We start from the raw sequence: 23,088 nt of genomic DNA, 5'->3' as shown, positions 1-23,088 counted from the left end.
CACATCAGTGGGTCCCCACAGTCCAGGGGGCACTTCTGGGTGGCTGGAGAGCCCTGTGCCAGAGCCACGTGGCCATGAGCTTTTCTCCTCTGTGGGCTCAGCACACCCCAGAAGAAGTGACTGCTCCTTTATGACCCTCTTTATCTGCCCCGGAGAGGGTCCTGGCATAATCCCAGATGCTGTGGCCTCGGCCCTCCGGGACAGCACATGGCACCTGCATCTCCCAGCTGCAGCTGTAGAGGCAGGAGTGATCCGAGGATGTTAATGCCAAGTCCAAATTGGTGATTTGATTTTTCTAGTGCTAACTTTGAAATGTAGCCAGTAGAGTAATTATGAGTTTATTGTAGTCAATTTATTATGCAGCATTTAGAACAACATGTTTTGTTGATTACTGCTACTGCCAGATTGCTGGTGGCATTTATAGTCCATTGTTGTATTGAAATTGATCTGCCGAGCGCCTACTGCGTTCGGTAAATAATAAATCAGTCTGTTATCCCAACATGAAAGCCACGATGCTTCATCCTAAGGTATGAAACTAAAGCATGAGCCCAGCGTAGAATTCCCCCGAAGCCGAGCGCCTCCCAGAGCAGTGCGCCTGCTGCAATGGCCTGCTCTGGGTTTTAGTCCTTTGACTGGGGGAAGACACCCCAGAGATATTTTAGCTTCTAGGAATGGGATTTTGTGGGGAATCAGAGCTGGTCCAGGGCAGCCAGATTATACAGCTGTACTGCAGAAGGGTGGGGGGTACTAAGAGGAGGCCAGCCTTTTCCATCCCTCTCTCCACAGTCCCAGATATGAGCACTCCCCCAACACGCACACACATGGATACACACACAGGGAACTGACCGAGGCTGTGCTGCGTTGCAATGATCACAGTGTAAGCCCCTGCCTCCCTCTCTCGCAGTGGCCACCTGGCACAGCGTGGGCCCTCTTCGGGCAAGAGCAGCAGGCCCGGTGTCCTCACCGAGCTGGGCAGGCCAGGCCCTGATGCCCACTTCCAGCAGCTGGTTCTGCAGCACAGGCTGGAGGTGGGAGCCACAGGCAGAGCTCAGGCCAGGCCTGGTTTATTCTCAGACAGCTCCCGTCCCCTGGTTGTCCTGTTCCGTGTCTTCGACCCAAAAGTGTCCTCCATGATGCGTACATCAAGCGGGGTTTGGGGCTGGCTAGGCCCCCCTCCTACTGCTCCGTCCTTACCCTTCCAGCAGCTTCCCTGGAGCTAGGCTGAGTCCACTGTTGGCCACAGTCATGGTCCAAGAGGGCCTATGAACCAGACACCCTGGTTCCTGCTTCAGGTCAGGCTTGTCAGCCAAGGACTGAGACAGACTTCCTGAGGGCCGTCCCTCACCCCCAGCCAGCCACCCCCGGGCCCCTTCCCGCTTCTCTGGGTGTGATGCCACCACACCCACTCGCATGCACGCAGGGGTGAGGGACGGGACTTTGTGGTGGCTGCATACACCCTCAGCCTGGTTCAGAGCCAAGCGGCCCCATGTGGGGCCTGTAGCCGTCAAGCCTCCGGGGGTTTTGCTGTTGTTCTCAGAGTCTTTTCCCGCTGTGATCCTGGGGTTCGCCATGAACCCCATCTCCAAGTCACTGTACCAGAGGGGCCATTCGCTGCTTTTTTTGTTTTCCTTTTTAAACCCCTCAGGCAGACCTTCAAGAACAGGGTTACAAAAGCGCAGCACACTTGCTAATTAACACTTTCAACATGTTCACACAGATTGAGGTGCCTGAGATCACTGGAGGCCATTCCTAAGTGGGAGGCCCCAGAAGACCCCTCCCCACTCACTCCAGCCCCGAACAGGTTTGTGTGAGCACAGAGGTGGCCAGGACTCATCCCCCTGCTTCTCCTGGTCGTCTTCTGAGCCCCCATGTGCTGCCCCCTCCTTCCACAAACAGCCTGGGCTGTGGGCACCAGAGCCACTGCAGGCCAGCAAGCTTCGCAGCTAGGGCAGGGGGCGCATGGTCCACGATTCTGGGAAGCAGTGCGCCCAGAGAGGGACCATCCCTTGCAGCACTCCGGGCCTGAGGCCGCCCCAGGTCCTGGAGAGGCTCACCCCACAGGGCAGAGGTGGAGGGCTCTGGTTGGGAAAGCAGCTGGGACACTCCTCCTGCCTCCCTCACTTCCCGATCAGGTGGTGGGGGTTGGAGGGGGGCCTTAATCTACTGTGGCCCCTCGCAGAGTTTCTAGAGCACGTGTCCCAGGATGCCCCAGGCCTTGGTTGTCCCAGTCGGGATGCAGCTGGTGGGCAGCAAGCCTGTCCTTCCAGAACTGGCCAGAAGAGGGCAGTGTTGTCTCAGGACGATGGGCCAGGCCTCACCCCTGCTGGGCCTGGTCTTTTGTGTTGCTCCTGGGCATGGGGGGTGGGTGGCCAGCCTGGCTAGGAGGAGAGACCTGTCCCAGCCCTCACACTCAGCAGCCACCAGTGCCCTCTTCCCCTCCTTCCCTGGCTAGATAATGGCGAGACCTCGACCCTGCAGGCCATGGGGTGCCCGCTCACCCAGGACCTCAGCAGCCACCTTGGCCTCACATGGGCCCTGCAGCCTGGGATGCGGCCAGCCTACTCCTGCTGTCTACTCAGCCTGAGTCTGTCTGCCACCATCGCGCTGCGGACCCCATGGGTGACAAGCTCCTGGGGACCCCCTTGCCCCACTCCACCTGGGGCCCAATGCTTTGGTGAGCTCCAGGGTAGAGCGTTGCCCCCAGGCCTGCTCTCTGCTGCCTGTCCCAGCCCAGCTCTCCCCCACCACCTTGCTGTTTCCTCCGAGGGAGACTTGTTGTCACCAGCCAGCCCTGCCCTGAGCACTCTGCGGTCTTAAAGACATGCTCTTGGGGCCACAGAACGCCCTCAGGAGGGTCCAGACCCACAGGCATGGCCGTCCCATCCCATCCCAGTTAGGAGCGTGCTCTCCATTCTCACCCGTCCTCATACACATGGACAGGCCTGGTTATGAGCAGACACCTGCCCACGCGTTTTCGGTTTGTCTCTTGTTTGTGCTTCGTGGCTGCACCCTCCTCAGCTGATGTCATGACCCACAGTTTGAACAGCACTTGTCCAGACATCCTGGGTGCTCCCAGACATCATGAGACACTGGTCACCAAAAAAAGCAAAATACAGCATGTGCTGCGCGTGTGACTCTCCCTCCCGCCTGCCAAGGCCACTGCCCTGACGCCCGGGCCTCACCCCACTGTGCTTTCCTGGCAGCTGTCCTTGTGTCTCACCCACCTCTGGACGAGGCACCCCACAGTGCTCTTCTGGGACCCGGGGCCCCTCACTGGTGCCGTGCCTCTGTCCATGTCATGCATAAAATGGCAATGCCAGTTCCCTCCAGACACCCAGGAGGCCCACAGGACGCAGCTGCTCCCGTCACCCACCGCGTGCACCAGGGATTGCTGGCTCTGGGGACCAGAAGCTGCTGCTGTCATGGGCTGGCGGCATGGGCAGCTTTCCTGTCTGCCGAGGCCCTGGAGGAGTGGCCGTCACACGAAAAGGGGGCAGAGATGCCCAGGAACGCACTGGAGAGAGGTCCCCTTGGTGGGTTAGGCCATGGCACGGGGAGCCTCAGGGACTCCGAGTGGTGGCCTTTGTCCCTGCTGGCCACGCTTGGAGCTTGGCACTCCACGGAAGGCCTGGCTGGGAGCAGGCAGCCGGCCCATGCACCCTGGAGACCACAGCTCGCCACCGTGTCTGCAGGGGCCGCCCACTGGGGCAGATGAAGGGAAGAGTGACCCATACGCCTCCCTTTCGGTCTCACACTGAGGAGAAGCAAGTGCTTCCTGCTGCTCAGCAATCCCCCAGCCTGGCCTGGGACACTGACCAGGGCAGCTGCACATCGGAGTCTGCAGTGCTTCTGCAGCCCCGAATATGAGCGCGTGTAAACTGTTGGATTGAACAGCTAAGAGCCGTGCCACTACTCAGGAGATTCAAATGAAACTGCAAACCAAGTCCAAAGTGGCTCTCATATAAACATTGCAGCATTTCCCCCAGAAAACTGTTCCCAAGCCTTCCGTCACTGGCCGACCCATCTTGGAGGCCTTCTGCCTCTGGGCTGGCGGGTCCCTGCCATGGGGCCCAGGGAGGGTCTGGGTGGGCCAGTGGTGGCAGGTAGCCCAGGCCCAAAGCTACCCAGAAGGAGCCAGAAACAGAGCCCTCAGAACACATGTGGGGAGTGAGACGCCAGCACGTTGTTTGGAGATGCATCCTGTCTCCCAGATGTCTTGTATTATCATCGACTCACTCGGCCAAAGATGGTAGGGTCCCCAGACAGCCAGGAAGGAGGGATCCTGCGTGCCTGTTCTCGATTGAGCCAACGTATGACCGAATTCTCCATTGTCGGTTTGCATTCAGAGGATGGATGAAGTGGACGCAGAGGAGCGGGAGGGAGATGATTTATCAAAGCCATGGCTTTCGTCCCTGGATTCCAGAAAAGCTTGCATCTGAATAACTTATGTGTGTAGAAACTCTAGGGGGATTTTTTTAAGGCAGAAAAAGATAGGGAACTGAGAGGAGCACGAAAATAGACTTCAGCTCCATACCCGAGCCTCGCTGGGCAGGATGGAGCTGGCTGGCTGGGTGTATACTTCCCCCTCCAGAAAGCAGATCATTTTCAAACAAGAAATGCAGTTACAGTCTTCTACAAGCTGGAAGATAAAGTCAGGCTGGCGGATGATATCCAGGCACCCACCATCCCATGGTCTTTCTGCTTTGCTGGCGGGAGTTTGGGGAACTGGGATCTGAGTCTGGTCTGCACTGGAGAACAGTCTTGTTTTTACATTCCTAGATGATTTCATTGTTCGGGGTATTCTTGTGGGCTTCCTGGTTGTTGTTGTTGTTGTTGTTTTTTAAACGATAGTTCAGTTTCTGCTTTTTCTTTTGTGTCAGCACAGTCCGGTAGGACTTTCTGCCCCGGCTGCTGTTGCAGGTCACCTTCTGATTTGGCGCCTCCTAGGAATCCGTGTCCCCCATACTCCTGGCCCTGTCCTCTCTGCCCAGGCTATTCTTGCATGTTCTAAAACCAACAAACCACAAACCATTTTTCTTGGTTGACTCTGGGGAACCTAAATGAAAATGCTTAGCTGTCCCCAGGCAAAACTGGGCTGTGTTCCATATGGCTCCACTCCCCAGAGCTACAGCAGTGGGAGGGTCCCATTTTACAGATGGAAAAACTGAGGCCGTGAAGGTTGAGCACTGCCGCCAGGACCTAAGAACCCATTGCTGGGCTTCGAGTTGTTTACCCTCCTGACTCAGGGCTTTCCTGGACCCGTGATCTGAGCCTCAGTTTCCCTTCAGTTTAGAGCTTCCATGTGCCCCGCCTTCCCGGCCAGCCGTGGGGAAGCCTAGGCCCTGTGCAGGAGTAGACTTCCAGGCAGTTGTTGGCCTAAGCAGCCCACTGCATCCAGAGATCCTGTGACTCTGACCCACCCCAAAGCTCCCTGTCATGCAGGCGGGGCTCCTCCCCCCAGCCTGAGAGTCACCTGAGGTGTTATCTGGACCTTTCTGCCCTGTTGACACTGCTTATGGTGTTTTGCAATCAGAAAAGACAGGAGATTAAAAAGTGCCCGGCTGGGGACTTTGGATTTCAGCAAAGCGTCCTGGCCGTGCATTCAAGTTTTTCCTTTAGAAATCTGCCTCCATGGGGCGGCTGACGCTGCCTGTCCAGCCACGTGGCCCTGCTCCTTGCTCCACATGAGGCCAGGGTCCTCCACCCCCTGGCTCCCTCCCATGGGACAGGACCCCCCACAGGCAGGCGCACAGGCAGCTTCTGGAATGTTTGTGGAGTGGTTGTGTTTACCGTGAGAGCTGGGATTTGGGTGAGAGGCCCTCGTGACGGAAGCCGCGGCTGTGCCCCTGGCCTCAGACTTGTCAGGACTCACCCAGCTACAGATGGACCCCATGGGAAGCCCAGGGTGGAGCCAAAGAGGGGCAGCTGCACTTCCTCAGCCCTCCTGGCTCTGGTTCTGGACCCTGCAGACGTGGTGGGCTCTGGTCCTAGGGCTAGACCAGCCTCCGCCAGCCAGGGTCATCACCATCAGTGTCGTGACTTGGCCATGACCTGTGAAGGGGCTGGTGGACCCGAGGGTTCCGCTCTGTGTCTGCTGCCTGCAGCCTCCCGAGGTGCCTAGGTGGGATGGATGGAAAGGGGCACCACCTGCGCCCCTCCGCCCCCTCAGCCAGGCCCAGCCTTGTCCACCTGGGCTGCTTCCGGGGAGTCCTGAGAGCCAGGTTTGGATCCAGCAGCCCTTCCCGTATCCTGTCCCTTCCACACCACAGGATGAGCGGGAGGCTGCTTCTCTGCCGTTGCCCAGAGAGGGCCCTGAGGTCCTTTGCACAGCAAGGACAGGCCCTACTCCTTCCGGGCCCTGCTGTGCCAAGGGTCCCTCTTACAGGGCATCCAGAGGGCAGCCCCAGCCACCATCCTCCTGCCTCAGCAGGCCTCCTGTCATCTGTCCCACACTGTCTGTCCCACGCCATCTGTCCCATGCCATCCTGCCTCTCTGCTGGCCCCCAGGCCCCTCCCGTCCTGGACAGCTGGCACCTCTGCCCCATTCTCCACGCCCCTGCCTGTGTCCTGCTGGTCTCTGCCTGCCACCGGAGGGTGCCAGGGTGCAGGTGGACAGGGTGAGGGGGCCCACCTGGCTTCGGGGACATGTGGCCAGCAGGCCCTGGGAAAGCCTTGCTGGACATGAGGCTGTCTGGCACTTCCTCCCTGCCCTCCCCTTGGGCCCTGGCAGAATATGTCCGTCCCATCCCCATGGGCAGAGGGGTAGTGTCGGGCACACCCCTCCAGCTAGGGGGCCCCAGAGCTGCAGCAGAGCCAGAGGCCCTAGCCGCCGACTGAGTGTCTGCCCAGATGCTCTGGGTCCTGGAAGAAGCAGGTGGTGTGATTCAGGCCCGGAGTTCTAGGCCGTGCATCCCATCCGGGGTCCCTGCCCAGCCCCCTCCTCCTCTGCTTCCCACAAGCACGGCCTCAGCCTGTGCTCTGTGCTGGGTGCAGGGAGACCTGGGAGAGCCTGTTGGGGTGCCGGGTGGAGGCCAGGCAGCGGGCGGGGTCCTGGGGCATCTCTGCCTCTCCTTAGTTCTCCAAACAATTCTCCATGGCTCTGAGCTCTTGGAGGCCAGGCCACAGGGGTGGGTGTCATCTGCATAGGACAGCCCCACTCCCCTCAGCCTTCCCTGCCTGGGCTGAGCCCTGAGTCCCTTTTTCCCTGGAAGACACAGGTCTTCCAGGATGGCTTCGGGTTTCCTTGCTGCCCACGCACCCGTGGGAGACACCAGGTGGCAGTTCCCCACACCGGTCTCATTGTGAGGGGGAGTTGCATCCAGGACCCGGGCCAGCTGCCCTCGAGTCCAGGGCAGGTGGGGAGCGGTAAGGGTAAGGGGGCGGTGGCACCCCAGTACCCACTTGCCCTGCCTTCCTCTCTCCGCAGCCTGTTCGACATGGGCGGTGAGTATTACTGCTTCGCTTCCGACATCACCTGCTCCTTTCCCGCCAACGGCAAGTTCACTGCAGACCAGAAGGCCGTCTATGAGGCAGTGCTGCGGAGCTCCCGTGCCGTCATGGGTGCCATGAAGCCAGGTGAGCAGCGGGTCGGTGGGGGGAGGCGCATCTGACGTGGCGTTGGGGGCGCTGCTATGTGGCAGGTGCCTGCAGGGAACGGGTCTGCATTGTGTGACTTGAATCTGCCACACTCCAGATGCTTAGTCCCTGAGATTCCAGTGGCGTCAGGTCTCCAGGGTCACTCCTAGGAAACAAGGCTGACCACCAGGCAGGGACAGACAGAACCAGGAATTGCGGGGCTCAGGCCAAGGCTCCCCGGTCTGCTGGCCTCCACCTGCGCATCTCCACTGGCCACTAGCACGCCAGCCTGTCTCCTGCTTTGTCCTTAAGCGGTGTCTACTCCAGGGAGGGCTCAACCCACTCTGGACACTGGCATGGGGTCAGAGCAGGTTCACGTGCCGCTCAGCGCTCTGTGACCTTGGATGGAAAGCCCTCCTCTGGGTGGCCGTTTCCACATCTGTAAATGGGGAAGCAGCCGACTCATGGAGACTGAGTTAAGCTGTGTAAAGCACCTGCAAGGCCGCCTGGCCTGTGGTAGTGCCCTGCAGGGGTCACAGTCACCACCATGATGGCCATGTTGAGGCCAGGATGGGCCTGGTGTTTCTCTCTCCCAGCGGCCAGCGTAGGCCAACCTGTCCTGCCCTCAGCCCTCCCAACCCCAGGCAGCCTGCACAGGCCCCACTGGTACCTCTTGACCTCCCACCGCGCGCCGTTGATGTCTGTCAGGGCAGGCAGAGGAGGTCCCCTGGAGGGGAGCCAGCATCCTCCCAACAAGGCCAGCTTTCAGGAGTTCCCCCTGGGCACCTCCCGCTGTCCCCATCCCGCTCAGCCAGCCTCCTGCCGAGTGACCCCTGGGTCCTCCATAGCCCTGGCAGGGGTGGAGTCTAGCACCCACAGGATCGAACCCCAGCTCTCTGCCCTGCAACAATAGAAACCATTTCCCAGCAGTGATGGGAGGTCCTGGCTTGTCACCTTTGCCCAGAGGAGAGAATTGAGGGATGTGGTCTTCTCATGTTCTTGCTTCAAGCCTTCCAGGGCTTCAACACAGCACCCCTGCCGTAATCCTTGGATTCACCAGAGCCTGGGCAGGTTCCTATGGGATCACCATGTGCTGGCCAACCCCTAGGCCTGGCCCTCTACAGGCACATGGCTCCCACGACTCTGACTGAGATCTGTTCGGCAGCTGCCAGGGTCCAGCCTGCAGCGCAGAGGGGCTTTCCCTGCCCACACCGGCCCAGGCACAGCTGGCCCCCCAAGGCACGCAGGTTCTGCATCTTTGGTTATAAGCAACAGAACAGTCTCCAGCCAATTCGGTCATTTGGGGCTGCCACAAATTCACAGAGGTGGAAAATCAGGTCTGGGCTGGGGCCAGGGCTGCAGTGGCACAGGACAATGGCCCTGTACTCACAGCTGGATCGTCTGGCCAGGGCCCGCCCTCAGCACACAGGCCCCAGCCACCTTCTGCAGCCTGGAGTCCCTCCATCTGGGTCGAGGTCAGAGATCACCTCGTGTTGGCCATGCCCAGGTCATAGTCCAGCCCCCCCAGCTTGCCCCCACCCTCGCCCACTGCCTCTCACCCACAGCTATACAGACCTCCAGAGAGACAGGCAGGCCCAAGGCAGCCCCCTGTGTAGGGGAGCTCAGGCGTCCTCCAGGAGCCAGGTGGGCTTACCGCGGGCAGAGGGGATAGCCCAGTAGCGCAAGGCTTCAGAGTCCAGGATGCAGGCCCCAGACCCAGAGTGCCCCGAGCCCAGCCCCAGCTCTGCCGCCTGCTGGCCAGGTACCTTACTTAAGCCCCAAACAGGCGAAGGATAGACCCCTGCTCTCCCAAGGCAGAGTCCACTTCAGAGCGGGCCTGGCCAGCTCTGGACCGTGGCATCTAGTTAGACATGGAGTGCCCTCTGTTAAGGACCCACAGAGAGCTGGCAGCTGCCAAGTGCGCCCTCAGTGTTCAAGGAAAAAAGAAGAAAGAAAGATCTGGAGCCTCCAGAATGCGGCCTCAGAACTTGATGGCTCGGCGGTCGACTGAGCAGTCCCTGCGGCCCCACAGCCCGTTGCTGGGATGAGTTGCAGCCTCGATCGCCGGCCCAAGTGTGCTTCAGAGGGGCCCTCAGCCACCGTCGCTTTCAGAGGAGGCAGACTGTGGGCAGGCCTTTGCAGATGGTGCCCAGTCCAGCCTCCAGAGCCCCCACCAGAGGCTGAGGAGCCGCGGAGGGACGCTGGGGGCAGTGCCAGGCCCCAGCCCCACACCTTCACGCATCCAACAGGAACAGAGCTTGACAAACGCATGAGTGCAAGCAGGGGGACCCCAGATGTGCCCCAAAAGGAAGACAGGACAGAAAATCCAAAAGTCAATAAGCTTGTGATGGGGTGACAGCGCTGATCGGACTCACCTGGTTTAGCAGCTGCCGAGGAAAACAGCATTTTCTGCGGAATTGCTTTGCTTAAAAAGCAGCAGGCCGGGCTCTGTGGCTCACACTTATAATCCCAGCACTTGGGAGGCGGGCGGATCACTTGAGGTCAGGAGTTGAAGACCAGCATGGGCAACATGGAGAAACCCTGTCTCTACTAAAATTACACAAATTAGCTGGGCGTGATGGTTCATGCCTGTAATCCCAGCTACTCGGGAGGCCAAGGCACGAGAATCGAATCGCTTGAACCTAGGAGGCGGAGGTTGCAGTGAGCCAAGATCACACCACTGCACTCCAGCCTGGGTGATGGAGTGAGACCCTGTCTCAAAAAACAAACAAAAAGGAGCTGCCACCCCTGAGTATGAATATACAGGTGTCTCCAGGCAGATGGGTGGGTGAGGACAGAAGAGCGCCAGAGGGTATGGCCAGCGGGCCCTTGTGGGTAAAAGGAAGAGGGAGTGAGAGCGTGAATTCCCGTGCGCCTGTGAAAACCATAAAGGAGGTGCAGGAAGGGACGGGACAGTTTGCTTGCTGCGTCCCTTCTTATTCTTTCTGACTCTTCAGCCATGGGAAGCATCCCCCGTTAGCTGTCAAATCCAATCCAGCCTCCACGAAGCAGTCGCCCAGGGGCGCCACTCCTTCTCCTTCCTTCATTCTGGGGATGAGAATTTCTTGCTCAGTTTTAAATACCACTAGTCACTCGAATGAATGATCAGTGTTTCAGATCCAGCAGGAGGATTTGGCAGGTGAGCGTGGCCTGTGGTGTATTCACCTAGTATCTGTGAGCCCAGCTCCTGTACCCTCCACGGAGAGCCCTCCGCCGGGCACAGCCTCTCAGGTGGGCCAGAGTCTCTCAGACACCCTTCACGTACAGGGCTGGCCTCCCACTCTGTAGCTGTGCCAAGGTGGGCTGTGTCATTGCGAACTGTGTCACCATCACATCAAGTGGTAGTGTCAGACATCCACGGGCAGTCGTGAAATCCAGATGTCCAGAAAGTCAGAGCCCCAGGCTGCAAGGGGCTGAGCCTCCCAGCGGCGAAGCAGAGCTTTGCAGCCTGTGAGGGGCGGGGGCCCACCAAGCCCAGCAACCCTGTACACCCAAGCATCAGGCTGAGGAGCTCAGCTTGGTCAGCAGGCAGTGCCGGGCCCATCAGGGTGCCAGAGGTAGCACCAGGCCACGGGGAGCAGGGCGGCGGATTGACGCAGCATAGGGGCCAAGGCCTGGGGGGTGTTCGGTGGGAAAGCCATTGTCTTACCCCTCAGTCTCCTGTGCTGAAACCAGGGATGGCCCAGCCCTGGCTGGCCTCACCTGCAGGAAAGCCTGCTGCGGCCTGGGCAGGACCTGGGTGGCATCTCCACAGCTGGCATCCTGGCCAGCTCCCTGGCCCAACTCAGCAGCCCCAATTCTGTCCAGAAAGTGGCCAGACCTCGGGGCAAGTCCCCAGGCCCCATGTGGCACTGAGAAAGGCCTGAGCTGGGTCTCCCATCCCGTGGTGCTGCCTGGTTCATGCTGACTCTTGGGGCAGGCACAGGCCTCAGGCCTGGCAGGGGTGTCTGGGGCCACAAGGCCAAATCCAGCTAGGCTCATCTCAGACCATGGGAGGCAGGTCCTCCCCCAGCCCCGCTCCCACCCACCACTGGGCTTTGCTGCCCAGACCCAGCCTGGGGTCTGGAGGATCCCTGTGTAAGGGAATGGAGCAGCCCCCCAGCAGCCCCCCCACACCTACCACCCACACTGAGCTGTGTGGCATTGGTGTCCCCCAAGGGCAGAGTCGGACTCCATCTGGATCACACACAGTGAAGGCCCGTGGGGCAGGCCCTGGGCCCACAGAGCTGCCCTCCGGATGGGGCAGGTCGCCTCCCGTAGCATCGAGGAGGCCGTGGCCAGGTCAGCCCCCTGCCTTGTCCCAGCGGAAATGCCCTGGGTTCGTGGGTTCAATTCCTGGGCCAAGACAAACACCCCACCGAGACTGCCCGACTGCATCCTGTGACCTTCCAGGGAGAGTAAATAAAGCAGGAAACCCCATAGCTAAGCCCAAAGGAGAGGCAGGAAAGAATGGTCAGGACCCTGGGGGGTTGAGGAATGCAGGCCTTGGCCCCTGATCCTAGGGCTGGTGGGGGAGCATTCCTCACTGTCATTCACAGTCGGCGAGGAAGGAGGCTGCGCTCGCTCAGACGGAGACCCTACCCTGGCGGCTGGGAGTCCACAGGCGGGTGGCAGGGCAGGCCCAGCAGCTGCAGGACCTCGGGGAGTGCCATGCACGGGAGGTTGGGTGGGATCCAAGCTCAGCGCGGCTCCTGTGTTGGGGCAGGCTGCCCACCCCATGCAGACCCCTGCATGCATGGTGAGGGGAATGGGGGGAGGCGCTGCTGGGACGGATGGGCGAGCCCGGCAGGGTGGCCCTGAGTCAGGGTCTGCATTGGCACAGCCACAGCAGGAAGGCTGTTCCTAGAAGCAGCACAGCTGTCCCTGTCCCGCGGGCTCAGTCCCTGCAGCCACCCTGGAGCTCCAGAGGACCCCAGCACTGAGGGCCCCATGCCCTCCGCCTGCAAGCCCCAGAGCCTCCTGTAGCCTCGCCTCCCAGCCCCGACCCAGCTCCCTCTCTCCTCACCCCCCCACCCTCCCTGGCCTCCCCGCCTTTCTCTACTCTTTCCTGTGCTCACCCAGGAGCCTCCTGTGCCCCTGTCACTGGGGGCCCAGCTCCTATCAACCTGGAACAGCAATGGTGGCCCACGATTCATGAGCTCTTTTGTGTTTCGTTCCCCCGCTCCTGGCTCTGTCCCTGCCCTCAGGGTCCTGGCCACTTGTGAGTGACGGGGGTGCTGCCAATGTGAGGTCAGAGGAGGGGAAAGAAGTGGCAGGAAGTGTCCCCACCTCCAAAACAGTCCTGACGGGGCGAGAGAGGGGCACTGAGGCGCGGGATGACCAGGTGGCTGGGAGAGGGGCCCAGCAGCACCTGCCCCGGCCCACCTGGCATGTGTCTCCTGTGGCCCCGTGGTCAGGGGGCACCTCTGCCAGCTTTGCTCCCCTCCCAGCCAGCGCCAGGGGCAGGGGCCCAGCAGCTAGACTTCCTGTCAGTCCTCATCCTCCGAGACGGCGTGGAGTGCAGGGCTCAGGCAGATAGGCATGGCGGCCATGTGCCACCCCAGTCATAGATACCCTCTGCGGCAGGTGCCAGGACGGGGAGGACTGTCTTCAGTGTGGGCACCATGTCCACCCCTCCTGCCGGCCGCAATGGTGAGCCAGTTCCTTGGCCTCTTCTTACTCCTCGGGGCACTCTGCCAGGGTGTGGGGGAGGAGACTCGAGGAGCAGCCTGGGCCAACACAGCACCCTGCTCTCACGCAGGGTGAGTGGGTCCCCAGAATTTCTGGCAGCAGATGGGGTTCTTCTACTCACGTCCCGTGCAGGGTGGGGTGAGCTGGAGGTCCTCAGCCCCGTGCCAGCTCAGCCAGCCCTCAGGGCCTGCCCTGGGACCCCGGCCGGAGCCTGCTGTCCTACACCCCTAGAGCCTGGCTCACACCCATCCATCCCGAGGGCCATGTTCCACAGATGAAGTGCGCTCTTTGTCTGGAGGCAGCTCTGAGGATGCTGCCTTTGTAGCTCGGTCAGGCCCGGGAGCCCCCTGGGGCTGTCACACTCCGGGTAGGAGGCCTCGGGGCTGTGATGGATGCTTTGAGGCTCCAAGGAGCTGGCCTGGGCCCTAGGCCCAGCAGGAGCGGGTGCTGCCTGAGGAGACCAAGTGGACCCAGAAGACCACTCAGGGGCTACGCTGGCCACACCTGGGGCCTGGGTGGCAGGAGCAGCGGGGCTTGTTCCTCTGAGCCCTGCCATTTCATGAGGCGCATGATGGGACACTAACCTAGAGGCCACCCTGCCCGTTCTAGGGTCTGAGTACACAGAGGAGTGGGGGATGGGGCACAACACTGGCTGCAGGAGAGCCATGAGAGAAGCTGGGGCTCCTCTCCTTCCAGGCGTTTACCAAGCATCCGCAGCATGCCAGGCACAGAGCAGAGTACGGGCACCACCCTTGCAAGGCCCAGAGGTCATAACCAGGCCCAGCTGTGCTGTGTGTTCCGTGAATTCTCAAAGTACAGGAAGGGGTAATCAGAGAGGGCTTCCTGGAGGAGGAGCCTCACCACAGAGGCCCACAGGAGGAATGGGAGCACATCTGGGAAAACGGGCTTGGAGGAGGTGGCCCCAGCTAAGGAAACAGCAGGTAGGGAGGGCCAGTTCTTGGGACCCGTGGCCTTGGTCCAGCCACCCCACCCAGGAGTGGGTGAGGGAGAGGCTGGAGACCAGGCCAAGCTGAGAACCTGGGCTTCGTCCGGGGCCGGGAATGGCCCTGTTTGCCCCGTTCGTTCTAAAGAGATGGCCCAGGCATCCAAGGGGTGTGCAGCGGAGGAGGGAGCCAGGCAGACTCCAGGAGGGGTGGGGCAGGTGCAGGGGTGCTTCGGGAAAGCCAGAATGAGGTTTGGTGCTTGCTGGGGGTTGGGGCACGCAGGGCAGCTGGTGCCCAATTTCTGCTGTGTGATTCTCAGTGTGGCATCTGGGTATAGGCTGGCTAGGGGCCGGGGGTGCCTTCCAGCCTGGACTAGAGAGCTTGACGGTGTCTCCAGGCTGCCAGGGTGGGAGGAGCCTGAGAGTGGGCCCAGGCCAGCAAGGGAACCCTCAAGTTGGTGCCCACCCTGCCAGCCTAGTGCAAGGACAGTGACCCTCACACACTCCAGGGGCCCCCGCCCAGGCGGTGGGTGTCGTAACCACCATCCGGGCCAGAGGCTGGGGCCAAGTTGCTGGAGGTTGAATCACTGTCACAACCCTAACCACACACAGGCAGAAACTCCCTGCTCCCGGCCAAGAGAGCTGTGTGCAAGGCCTTCCCCGAGGGTGCACAGGCAAGGAAGACCAGCGGCGCCAAGGGGACCCCCGGGCCGGCACATCTGGGCGGCGCCGGGCCTGCCCCCGGGAAGGGCCACCGCAGAGCATGATTTATACCTGATTCCCGCCCTCTGCGGAGGCTGGGCCAAGAACGTAGCCCACTGCTGAAGTTAGCCTGGTTGGAAAGCTGGCTGCACTTCCCGGGGCTCCCCTTTGGTGACCAGAGAAGGGCGCGTCCGAGAGGAAGCAGTTGAGCTGGGCTTGGGGCACGAGCCACTCACAGGAGGCCTCCCAGCCCCATGTGCCAACTTTGCAGGCTGTTGGGAGACCTGAGGGGCACTCACTTTATGCCAGGCCCAGCGGTGCCCTCGGGAGACCCCCACCCTCGGAGTGAGACATGAGAAGCAAACGAGCAGATCCGTCCAGGGGACGGCTGCAGGCTGGATGGACCGTGCAAGGAGAAATCACCAGGCCTGGGACAGCAAGGCAGGAAGGTCTCCTCTGAGAGGGGACAGCTTTTATGCAGAGACCCCTTGGATGAGGCATCACAGGTCAAGGCCTGGCACAGGCCATAGCAAAGGGCCTGAGGTAAAACGGCCTGTGTGCCTTGGGGTGGTCTGGCCTCTGGAGGATGCAGCAGCAGAGAGGAAGGGCGAGGTGGGCCAGGATTGTCCGGGCTGGGTTCTCAGAGAAGAGCAGCAGCAGAGGCTGGGCAGGCTTGGCGCACACCCCCAGGAACAAGTGAATGTCAAGTGTGGAACCAGGGCTGGCTGGTCATGCGCGATGGAGGAATGGTGGCCAATGCCACTGTCCGGGGTGCTGCCTCCAGCCCCCAGGTGACACAGAGGCTCTGAGAGCAACCCCCCGGGGCCTGCCTTGTGGCTGTTTGTTTGTTTGACCAGCGGCAGCTGAGGCTCACGGAGGTGGGGCTGTTTGACCAGCGGCAGCTGAGGCTCACGGAGGCGGGGGAGCGGCCAAGTGGGCTGCAGTTATCCAGGTGTCCTTTTCCGGGATGTTGTGCCCCTCAGAAAAGCCAGGGGTGCGGGCTGGGCCAGCCAGGGGTGTGTGTGCCCAGGGCTGCCCCAGATACAGGGCAGCTGCAGCCAGAGTTGCCCCAGGTCTGCCCGGGCTCTCCCCCACGCCAGACCCCGGGCTCTCCCCCACGCCAGACCCCAGACCCCGGGCCCTCCCCCACGCCAGACCCCAGACCCCAGACCCCGGGACGGCCTCCCCGACGCCAGACCCCAGACCCCGGGACGGCCTCCCCCACGCCAGACCCCAGACCCCGGGACGGCCGCCCCCACCTCAGCCCCTAGGAGGCTGGGCTGATGGGGAGCTGGGCTCTGAGGAGGATCCCTGCTCTGTGTGGGGGGTGGGGGCAGGTCTGGGCATCTCCACCCCTGCCACCCTTAGGCTGCTGCCGTGGCTGGGGCGCTGTGCTGTGAATGGCGGGCAACAGCCATACTGCCTGCCCAAAGCCGTGCACCCCCAGCCCGCCTGAGACCCCAGCACCACAGTGGCCAACTCTGGCACTTAAAGGGGTCCCAACATGAAGGACTTGTGCCCAGTGTGTCGGGGGTGATGGCCTGTGTCCCAGTGTGGACTCTCATCCCTGTTCGCCAGCCGAGCCCATCATCTGCCCTCCGCCAGCCACAGAGGTTCAGAACCCTGCTTCTCACAGCCCAGCCCTCGCCAGCTCAGGGTCTCCCCGGCCCCTCCCACAGCAGTGATCGGGACCATGCAGAGCAGGCTCTGGCTCTGCGCCAAGGCAAGCCTGGCAGGGAGGCCCTCGGGAGCCAAGGTCACTCCGCCTGGTGGGGCTGGACCTCTCCAGGAGGTGCCGCAGGGACTTGCTGGGCGCCCTCTCCAGCCAGTGAGCTGCACATTGATAGGGGCCCCCCGCCACGTGCCTGGCCAGAGTGTCCTGGGGCCCCGGCCTCTGCCAGCACGTGGCCTGCCCAAACCCAGCCCCCATGGGGCCAGGGCAGGAGGCCTCACCGGCCTCGAGTCCTTATCTGGTGCTCAAGCCAAGTCCAGCAGTGGAAGCTACCATGAGGAGAGGCTGATGCTGGGATTCCACAGAGTCCGGGGATGGGACGGGCGCACCCGTGGGCTGCTGAGGCTCTACGTGGAGAGCTCTCTAAGGGCCTCCTTCCTAGCGGCCATGCTCCAGAGCCCCACAGAGCCTGTGTGGCCCCCAAAGCTCTGTGCTTAGGAAGTTCTCTCTTTGGTGGCCTTTGCCCCACAAACATGCGGCAGAGATGAGTTGGATTTGAAGCCGGGAGTTGGACATCTGGCTCCCCTGGAGATGGTGCCCCTGCTGTTGGCAGGCGGGGCCCCGAACCCCTGCCAGCCAGCTCGTGGGGCCGTGCCAGCCGCACCTTCTCCCCAGAAACCTTTGCTCCCTGCAGCAGCTCCAGGGGTGTTTCATCCCCATTCTGGGATGTGCAGGGACCCCTCTTTTCAGCCTCGGGCTTCCCCACTGCACCACAGCAGCAAAACCCCATCGGAGCTCTGAGCCAGGGTTTGGGTCTGAGCCTCAGGGCCAGAGCCCACAGAGTCTCCTGGTGTCTGCTACTGGGGAGACGTGCATGTTTCTCCTGGTGCCCAGGGATTTGGCTAGGTTTCCCTGGGCCCAGAAGCATAGGCTGTTCAGGGTGGACACACCATGGGCTACAGAGTAGACCCAGGCTGGGCCCTTGGCTACAGGTGACAGGAACCTGCCCCTAGAGGCAGAATGGAGGGACAAGAAGGGTCCCGAGGGCCAGAGCTTTTGCTGGGAAAGCCCAGCACGGGGGGCCACCCTAGTCCTTGTCCCCCTGGGCCCCCGATGTAGTACCCTTGCCCCCTCACCCCCCACCTCAGGCCCTCCCACCACAGCCAGTGTGAGGGCTTCACATCTCCCAGCCCCTGGCCCTGCGGTGTTGGCTGCTGGGCTCTGTGGCTCACGGCAGCTCCCTCTGGCCCACAGGTGTCTGGTGGCCTGACATGCACCGCCTGGCTGACCGCATCCACCTGGAGGAGCTGGCCCACATGGGCATCCTGAGCGGCAGCGTGGACGCCATGGTCCAGGCTCACCTGGGGGCCGTGTTTATGCCTCACGGGCTTGGCCACTTCCTGGGCATTGACGTGCACGACGTGGGAGGCTACCCAGAGGTCAGTGTGGACATGGCAGGCGGAGTGGCCTGCCCATCAGCTGCCGCTGAGCCTGACCCCCAGGGCAGGGTGGGACTCTAGGAGGCAGCAGGCGTGTATTGGGATGGCAGGGATGGGCCCCATGGCTCCCTGTGGTATACGGAGGCCATGAGGAGGGGGGAATCGGGACCCTGGCCAAGACAGGGGTGCATCTGTGAGCATTCCACAGAACTGGACATAGAGGCGGTGCTGTCTGCCTGCTGGGCCCAGGTGTCACCTGTCCAGAAGGTGGCACACAGTCAGGATACGGTGCATGGGGCCCCACAGGACAGTGGTGCTAAGGACAGGTCTTCGTGATGGAGCTACGTGGCACCCCTCACGTCCTGCCGCCTCTGGCTTCATTCAGACCTGGGGCGTGGGGAGTTGATGAGGCCCCACCCACTGGCGACTCACCCTGGCCCCTCACAAACCCGGAGCAGCCCTGCTCTGCCGCTGGTTCGCCCTCTCCTCCCAGGCCCCTGGGCCGCACACCTGGGACCCTGCAGCCTCCTCATCCCCAGGCATTCTGGGGCCCGTTGGCAGATAAGGGAGGCTGGGGGCCATCTCCAGACAAGGTTCCCCGGCCCTCAGAGGACCACCCAGAGGGTAAGTGAGGCTTGGGGAGGCCCAACCGGGCAGGTGGCTACGGCCTCTCGGCTGGGCGGCTGGGGCGCTCCCATCCCTGCCCTTGGCGGGCTGCCCAATGCAGGGGGCTGATTGTGCAATCGTGCACGCCCTGGGGCCCCCCAGCCAGTTAGCCAAGACAAGGCTCAGCCTCTTGGCTGCAGGGTGTTTTGAAAGCACTAAGAATGATTTTTTGGCAGGGTGGGGGCAGTGGGGGGAATTGCTTAAGAGAAGCATTATTATTCAATTATTTTTTTCCTCAAGTGTAAACAGTTAAATTTGGAGAAACAAAATCAGTTTTAATTTCCTAATGTCTATTCATCCCATTGTGTGCAGGGAGCCAAGAGCTGGGCCTTCCAGACATTGTTAGCTGAGGTTCGTTATTCATTAGTCGCCAAAGCGCTTTTTTTCCACCAGCAAAAATTGGCAGCAAACTGTTTTCATCTTTTCCAGTAAGCACCTCTTTGTGCTCAGAGTCTATTCTTCTGACAGATAAACATTGTGGAAAAAATATGGCTTTTCCTATAAAAGTCATTTGTTTTATTTCAGGCCTGCAGACACATCTGGGGCTCCTCTGCTTGGAGCCCAATAAAAGTTGAGGCCTTGTCAAGCCCTGTGCCCAGGCAGAGGCGAGCATGGGCGCGGTGAGGGCAGGACCCCTCCCCACCCCTGAAGGCTGCGCTTCCTGGGCCACAGGGGCTCGTGCCCTCCCCACATGGCTCTGCGCTCCACCCGGCCCAGCCCTTCCCATTCTCTTATGGCGCCTGCGCCCTGTTCTCAGCAGGTCCCCCGGGCAGGCCCCTAGAGCCAACACCCTGAAGGGGCAGCTGCGCCACTGGGCTGAGGCAGGCCTTGCCCTGTGCCCGCTGGGGATCCCTTCTAATCTCCCCCACCCCACTTCAGTGGTGGACCTCAAGATTTCAGAGGGGAGGAAAGTTCGTTTCTCTGGGGAAACAAACCTGCCCCTCAACCGTGTACCATGGAGCAGCCGGGGTGGGCCCATGGGGATGGAGGGGTGACTGGAAGGAAGGAAACCTGACGTTGGCAGGCCCTTGCTTCCCCCAGGCCCCTGGCTTCGATTGCTGTGGGTGGAGACAGGGACGGACACTTCAGGAATAGCATGAAGGAGAGGGATGGGCGGCGGTGGGGTGGGGGAGCCCAGCACAGGCTTCGGATGACAGGGACGGGAAGGTCCTGGAGCAGAGACCCTGGGACCCCCAGCAGCTTCTGGGCAGGAGACAGGCCCCAGCTCGGTCCACATGCACCTCTCACCTGCGCAGAGGGACTGTCACTCCATACGGTTCCTCAGCCACGGGGCATCCCTGCCCTCCGGCCTCAGCTCCCGGTCAGCGGCCCAGAGGCAAGTGTTGTGGGGCCGGGGCCACACCAGCCAGGCTGTGGTGTCTCCTCATCGCCTCCCGCCTGGCCTGCTCTCTCCAGGTCAGCGTGGCTGTCCCTGCCCTCCGTGGAATCAGTCACAGCCTCTCTGGCCGTGCCCAGCGTGGAGGCCGAGCCAGCCTGTTTCTGGTTACCTTACGTGAACTGCTAATTGGAGTCTGATGTTCTTGGCCCCCAAACAGTCAGAAATGACAGCTCCCGCTCCAGCAGCTGGGCTTCCTGGGGAGGGAGTGCAGCCGGGCAGGGCAGGCTCATCCCCTGACCAGAAAGCATACTCGTGCCCACTGGCTCAGAGGCCCTGGCCGCCGGCCGGATGGTGCCCCGGGGACCTGAGGCGAGCAGGAGCTCTCCTGTAATTCCCAGAGCACCCGCTGCCCTCAGCCAAGCTGAGGCCCCCTCAGCTGTGCCTGTGAGTGGACAAGGCCAGGCTGGGTGTGCACTGGGGCAGTGTGGGGCGCAGACAGGGGCCCCTGCAGGGAGCGGCTCTACCACTGTCCCTCAGGCGTTCTCCAAGGCTGGGGGCTATTTCCCAGGGCCCTGCCGTAAGGCCCCGAGCTCTCCTCTGGGAGCCACACCTGCCAAGCCACGCGCACACGGCACATTTGCACTGGCGCACTAAGGCTGGCAGACCCACCCTGATGACGGCACCTGTCCTCCCTGGACAGTCACACGGAAAATCTGGGCCTCGGCCTAGGGGAGCTGGGACCACGACTTCTGGGGCCAGTTTCTACTTGGGCTGCCTGGAAGGAAAGCTGTGGCCCCAAGGGGCTTCACAGCCGCCTTAAGAGCTTTTTTGGCTTCAGTGGTTTGGCATCTGCCACTCCTCTGGCCAGCAGCGGGGCCTGGCTAAGGGCAGCCCAACCCTCAGCCAGCCCCACAGGCCTGTCTGGGCAGCTTGCCCCGGGTGTGTGCACATGGGTGGCCACAGGGCTTCTCAAGCAAGCCCTAGGGTAGTGTGGCCAGGGACACTCAAGATCCAGGGGTATGTGCAGGGTGGAAGGTCTTATCAGGGTGCCCATGGCCCAGCACAGCAGGGGCGAGTCTAGGCTGAGGACCCCAATGGTCAAGAGAGCCCACGAGACTGGCACCGGCCCTCACATGCCCATCTCTCCTGATGAGGCCACGGTGAGCCCTGGAGCTGCTCATCAGGCCCCTCACCTCTGTTCCCCACAGGGCGTGGAGCGCATCGACGAGCCCGGCCTGCGGAGCCTGCGCACTGCACGGCACCTGCAGCCAGGCATGGTGCTCACCGTGGAGCCGGGCATCTACTTCATCGACCACCTCCTGGATGAGGCCCTGGCGGACCCGGCCCGCGCCTCCTTCCTTAACCGCGAGGTCCTGCAGCGCTTTCGCGGTTTTGGCGGGGTGAGTGCCCACGGGCCCCATTCTTGCTCCCAGAACATCTGCCACCTCCACTGCAGCTGCAGACTCCTTAGTCCCAAGACAGGGGCCCTAGTGACATCTTCCCTTGAGGTGGGCTTAGCCTGCCCCTTCGTGTGGTCTGTCACAGGATGGAGCCTCACCCCTCAGTAGGAACAGACAGAGATCCTGCAAAACCCCTGCCCGCTCCAGGGGCTCCCATCCACCTGGCAAAGACAGGGTGAGCAGGTGACATGGGCAGATGGCTCCATGAAGGAGCCCGGAGGCCACCCGTCTCCCAGGGAGTGTCAGCTGCTCCCATCCCATGGTGGGGTGGGCCTGGAATGGGCCCGGCCCTCTAGCCTGGCACATGAGGCTGCTCTATGATAATGTGTGTCTGTCGGCTTGACCCAGGTCCGCATCGAGGAGGACGTCGTGGTGACTGACAGCGGCATAGAGCTGCTGACCTGCGTGCCCCGCACTGTGGAAGAGATTGAAGCATGCATGGCAGGCTGTGACAAGGCCTTTACCCCCTTCTCTGGCCCCAAGTAGAGCCAGCCAGAAATCCCAGCGCACCTGGGGGCCTGGCCTTGCAACCTCTTTTCGTGATGGGCAGCCTGCTGGTCAGCACTCCAGTAGCGAGAGACGGCACCCAGAATCAGATCCCAGCTTCGGCATTTGATCAGACCAAACAGTGCTGTTTCCCGGGGAGGAAACACTTTTTTAATTACCCTTTTGCAGGCTCCCACCTTTAATCTGTTTTATACCTTGCTTATTAAATGAGCGACTTAAAATGATTGAAAATAATGCTGTTCTTTAGTAGCAACTAAAATGTGTCTTGCTGTCATTTATATTCCTTTTCCCAGGAAAGAAGCATTTCTGATACTTTCTGTCAAAAATCAATATGCAGAATGGCATTTGCAATAAAAGGTTTCCTAAAATGGTCCTTTGTGCGTGGCTTCCCCTTTATTCCTTTGCAGATGAGCATTTGGGACCCCGTGCACCCTGAAAAGATGGCTCACCTGGTGTCAGTATCAAGTCAGTTCCAGGAAGATGGTGCTGGCAGCACAGGCCCTCTAACGGCTGCTTCTGCCTCAGACTGGCCTGGCGGGACAAGGGCAGAGTCCTCCCCGAGGAGCCTGCTTTGAGCCCCTGGGACTCGGGGCTCTGGTGTCACCCTGTCACTTGCTGCAAGGTTTCCCAAGCCTAACAGGCATCAGAACCACTGGGGCATTTGGTAAGAGATTCCTGGGACCCCCACAGACCATCTGACCCAACGTCTAGGGGCAATGGCCCAGGAATTGTGTATTTCACAAGCGCCCGCCAGATGCTCCTGACAGACAAGTGTGAGAAGTACTCCTAGGCAAGGTGGTTTTAGCTTGTCAGTACCAGCGCAGCCCGAGGTTTGAGGTGGGGCAAGCAACGCTGCAGGAAGATCCTAGGCACTCAGGTCAGACTGGCCAAGTCACCCCGCGCCATGCCTTTGCGCAAGTTAAAGGGCGGACTGATTTAACACAAGTCTTTCTGATACGGTCACTGCCTCCAAACTAGATTTCTGAAGGTGGTAGAATCATGTAGCGCTTGAGCTGCAGATATTTAAAACCTGAGACTTGCAGGGATCTCTTGTCCTTGATTTCTTTTTCATGTGGGACACACTAGCCAAAGCCAGCATCTGTCGGAGACACTGC

At 61.1% G+C, this 23,088-nt stretch overlaps 1 protein-coding gene and 1 long non-coding RNA gene across 4 annotated transcripts in view, besides 5 other annotated features; one reads left to right on the top strand and one right to left on the bottom strand.

Annotated features, from left to right (window-relative positions):
* PEPD (peptidase D) overlaps positions 1-22,346 on the top strand; it is a 134,842-nt gene extending 112,496 nt beyond the window's left edge. For all 3 annotated transcript variants that reach the window (NM_001166057.2, NM_001166056.2, NM_000285.4), the window contains 4 exons: positions 7,427-7,575; positions 17,817-18,001; positions 21,215-21,406; positions 21,815-22,346. In NM_001166057.2, coding sequence (NP_001159529.1) covers positions 7,427-7,575; positions 17,817-18,001; positions 21,215-21,406; positions 21,815-21,952 — 664 coding nt within the window. In that variant the 3' untranslated portion in view covers positions 21,953-22,346. The remainder of the gene's footprint in view (positions 1-7,426; positions 7,576-17,816; positions 18,002-21,214; positions 21,407-21,814) is intronic.
* LOC124904692 (uncharacterized) lies at positions 331-7,427 on the bottom strand. Its single transcript, XR_007067229.1, has 2 exons — positions 5,873-7,427; positions 331-5,007 (listed from the first exon to the last, which is right to left on the bottom strand). It is a non-coding gene; the product is annotated as an uncharacterized LOC124904692 (long non-coding RNA).
* Positions 2,039-2,596: an enhancer, noted in NCBI's record as "H3K27ac-H3K4me1 hESC enhancer chr19:33897606-33898163 (GRCh37/hg19 assembly coordinates)". NCBI's record gives its function as "activates a minimal SCP1, AML or CMV promoter by ChIP-STARR-seq in primed H9 embryonic stem cells {active_cell/tissue: H9 hESC(primed)}" and the evidence as "EXISTENCE:reporter gene assay evidence [ECO:0000049][PMID:30033119]".
* Positions 12,374-13,203: an enhancer, noted in NCBI's record as "H3K27ac-H3K4me1 hESC enhancer chr19:33886999-33887828 (GRCh37/hg19 assembly coordinates)". NCBI's record gives its function as "activates a minimal SCP1, AML or CMV promoter by ChIP-STARR-seq in primed H9 embryonic stem cells {active_cell/tissue: H9 hESC(primed)}" and the evidence as "EXISTENCE:reporter gene assay evidence [ECO:0000049][PMID:30033119]".
* Positions 13,204-14,033: an enhancer, noted in NCBI's record as "H3K27ac-H3K4me1 hESC enhancer chr19:33886169-33886998 (GRCh37/hg19 assembly coordinates)". NCBI's record gives its function as "activates a minimal SCP1, AML or CMV promoter by ChIP-STARR-seq in naive H9 embryonic stem cells {active_cell/tissue: H9 hESC(naive)}" and the evidence as "EXISTENCE:reporter gene assay evidence [ECO:0000049][PMID:30033119]".
* Positions 16,021-16,785: an enhancer, noted in NCBI's record as "H3K4me1 hESC enhancer chr19:33883417-33884181 (GRCh37/hg19 assembly coordinates)". NCBI's record gives its function as "activates a minimal SCP1, AML or CMV promoter by ChIP-STARR-seq in naive H9 embryonic stem cells {active_cell/tissue: H9 hESC(naive)}" and the evidence as "EXISTENCE:reporter gene assay evidence [ECO:0000049][PMID:30033119]".
* Positions 18,957-19,859: an enhancer, noted in NCBI's record as "H3K4me1 hESC enhancer chr19:33880343-33881245 (GRCh37/hg19 assembly coordinates)". NCBI's record gives its function as "activates a minimal SCP1, AML or CMV promoter by ChIP-STARR-seq in primed H9 embryonic stem cells {active_cell/tissue: H9 hESC(primed)}" and the evidence as "EXISTENCE:reporter gene assay evidence [ECO:0000049][PMID:30033119]".

Source organism: Homo sapiens, chromosome 19, assembly GCF_000001405.40.
Source record: "Homo sapiens chromosome 19, GRCh38.p14 Primary Assembly".
In the NCBI taxonomy this organism is placed as follows: domain Eukaryota; kingdom Metazoa; phylum Chordata; class Mammalia; order Primates; family Hominidae; genus Homo; species Homo sapiens.
This window is presented reverse-complemented; position numbering and strand designations above follow the sequence as displayed.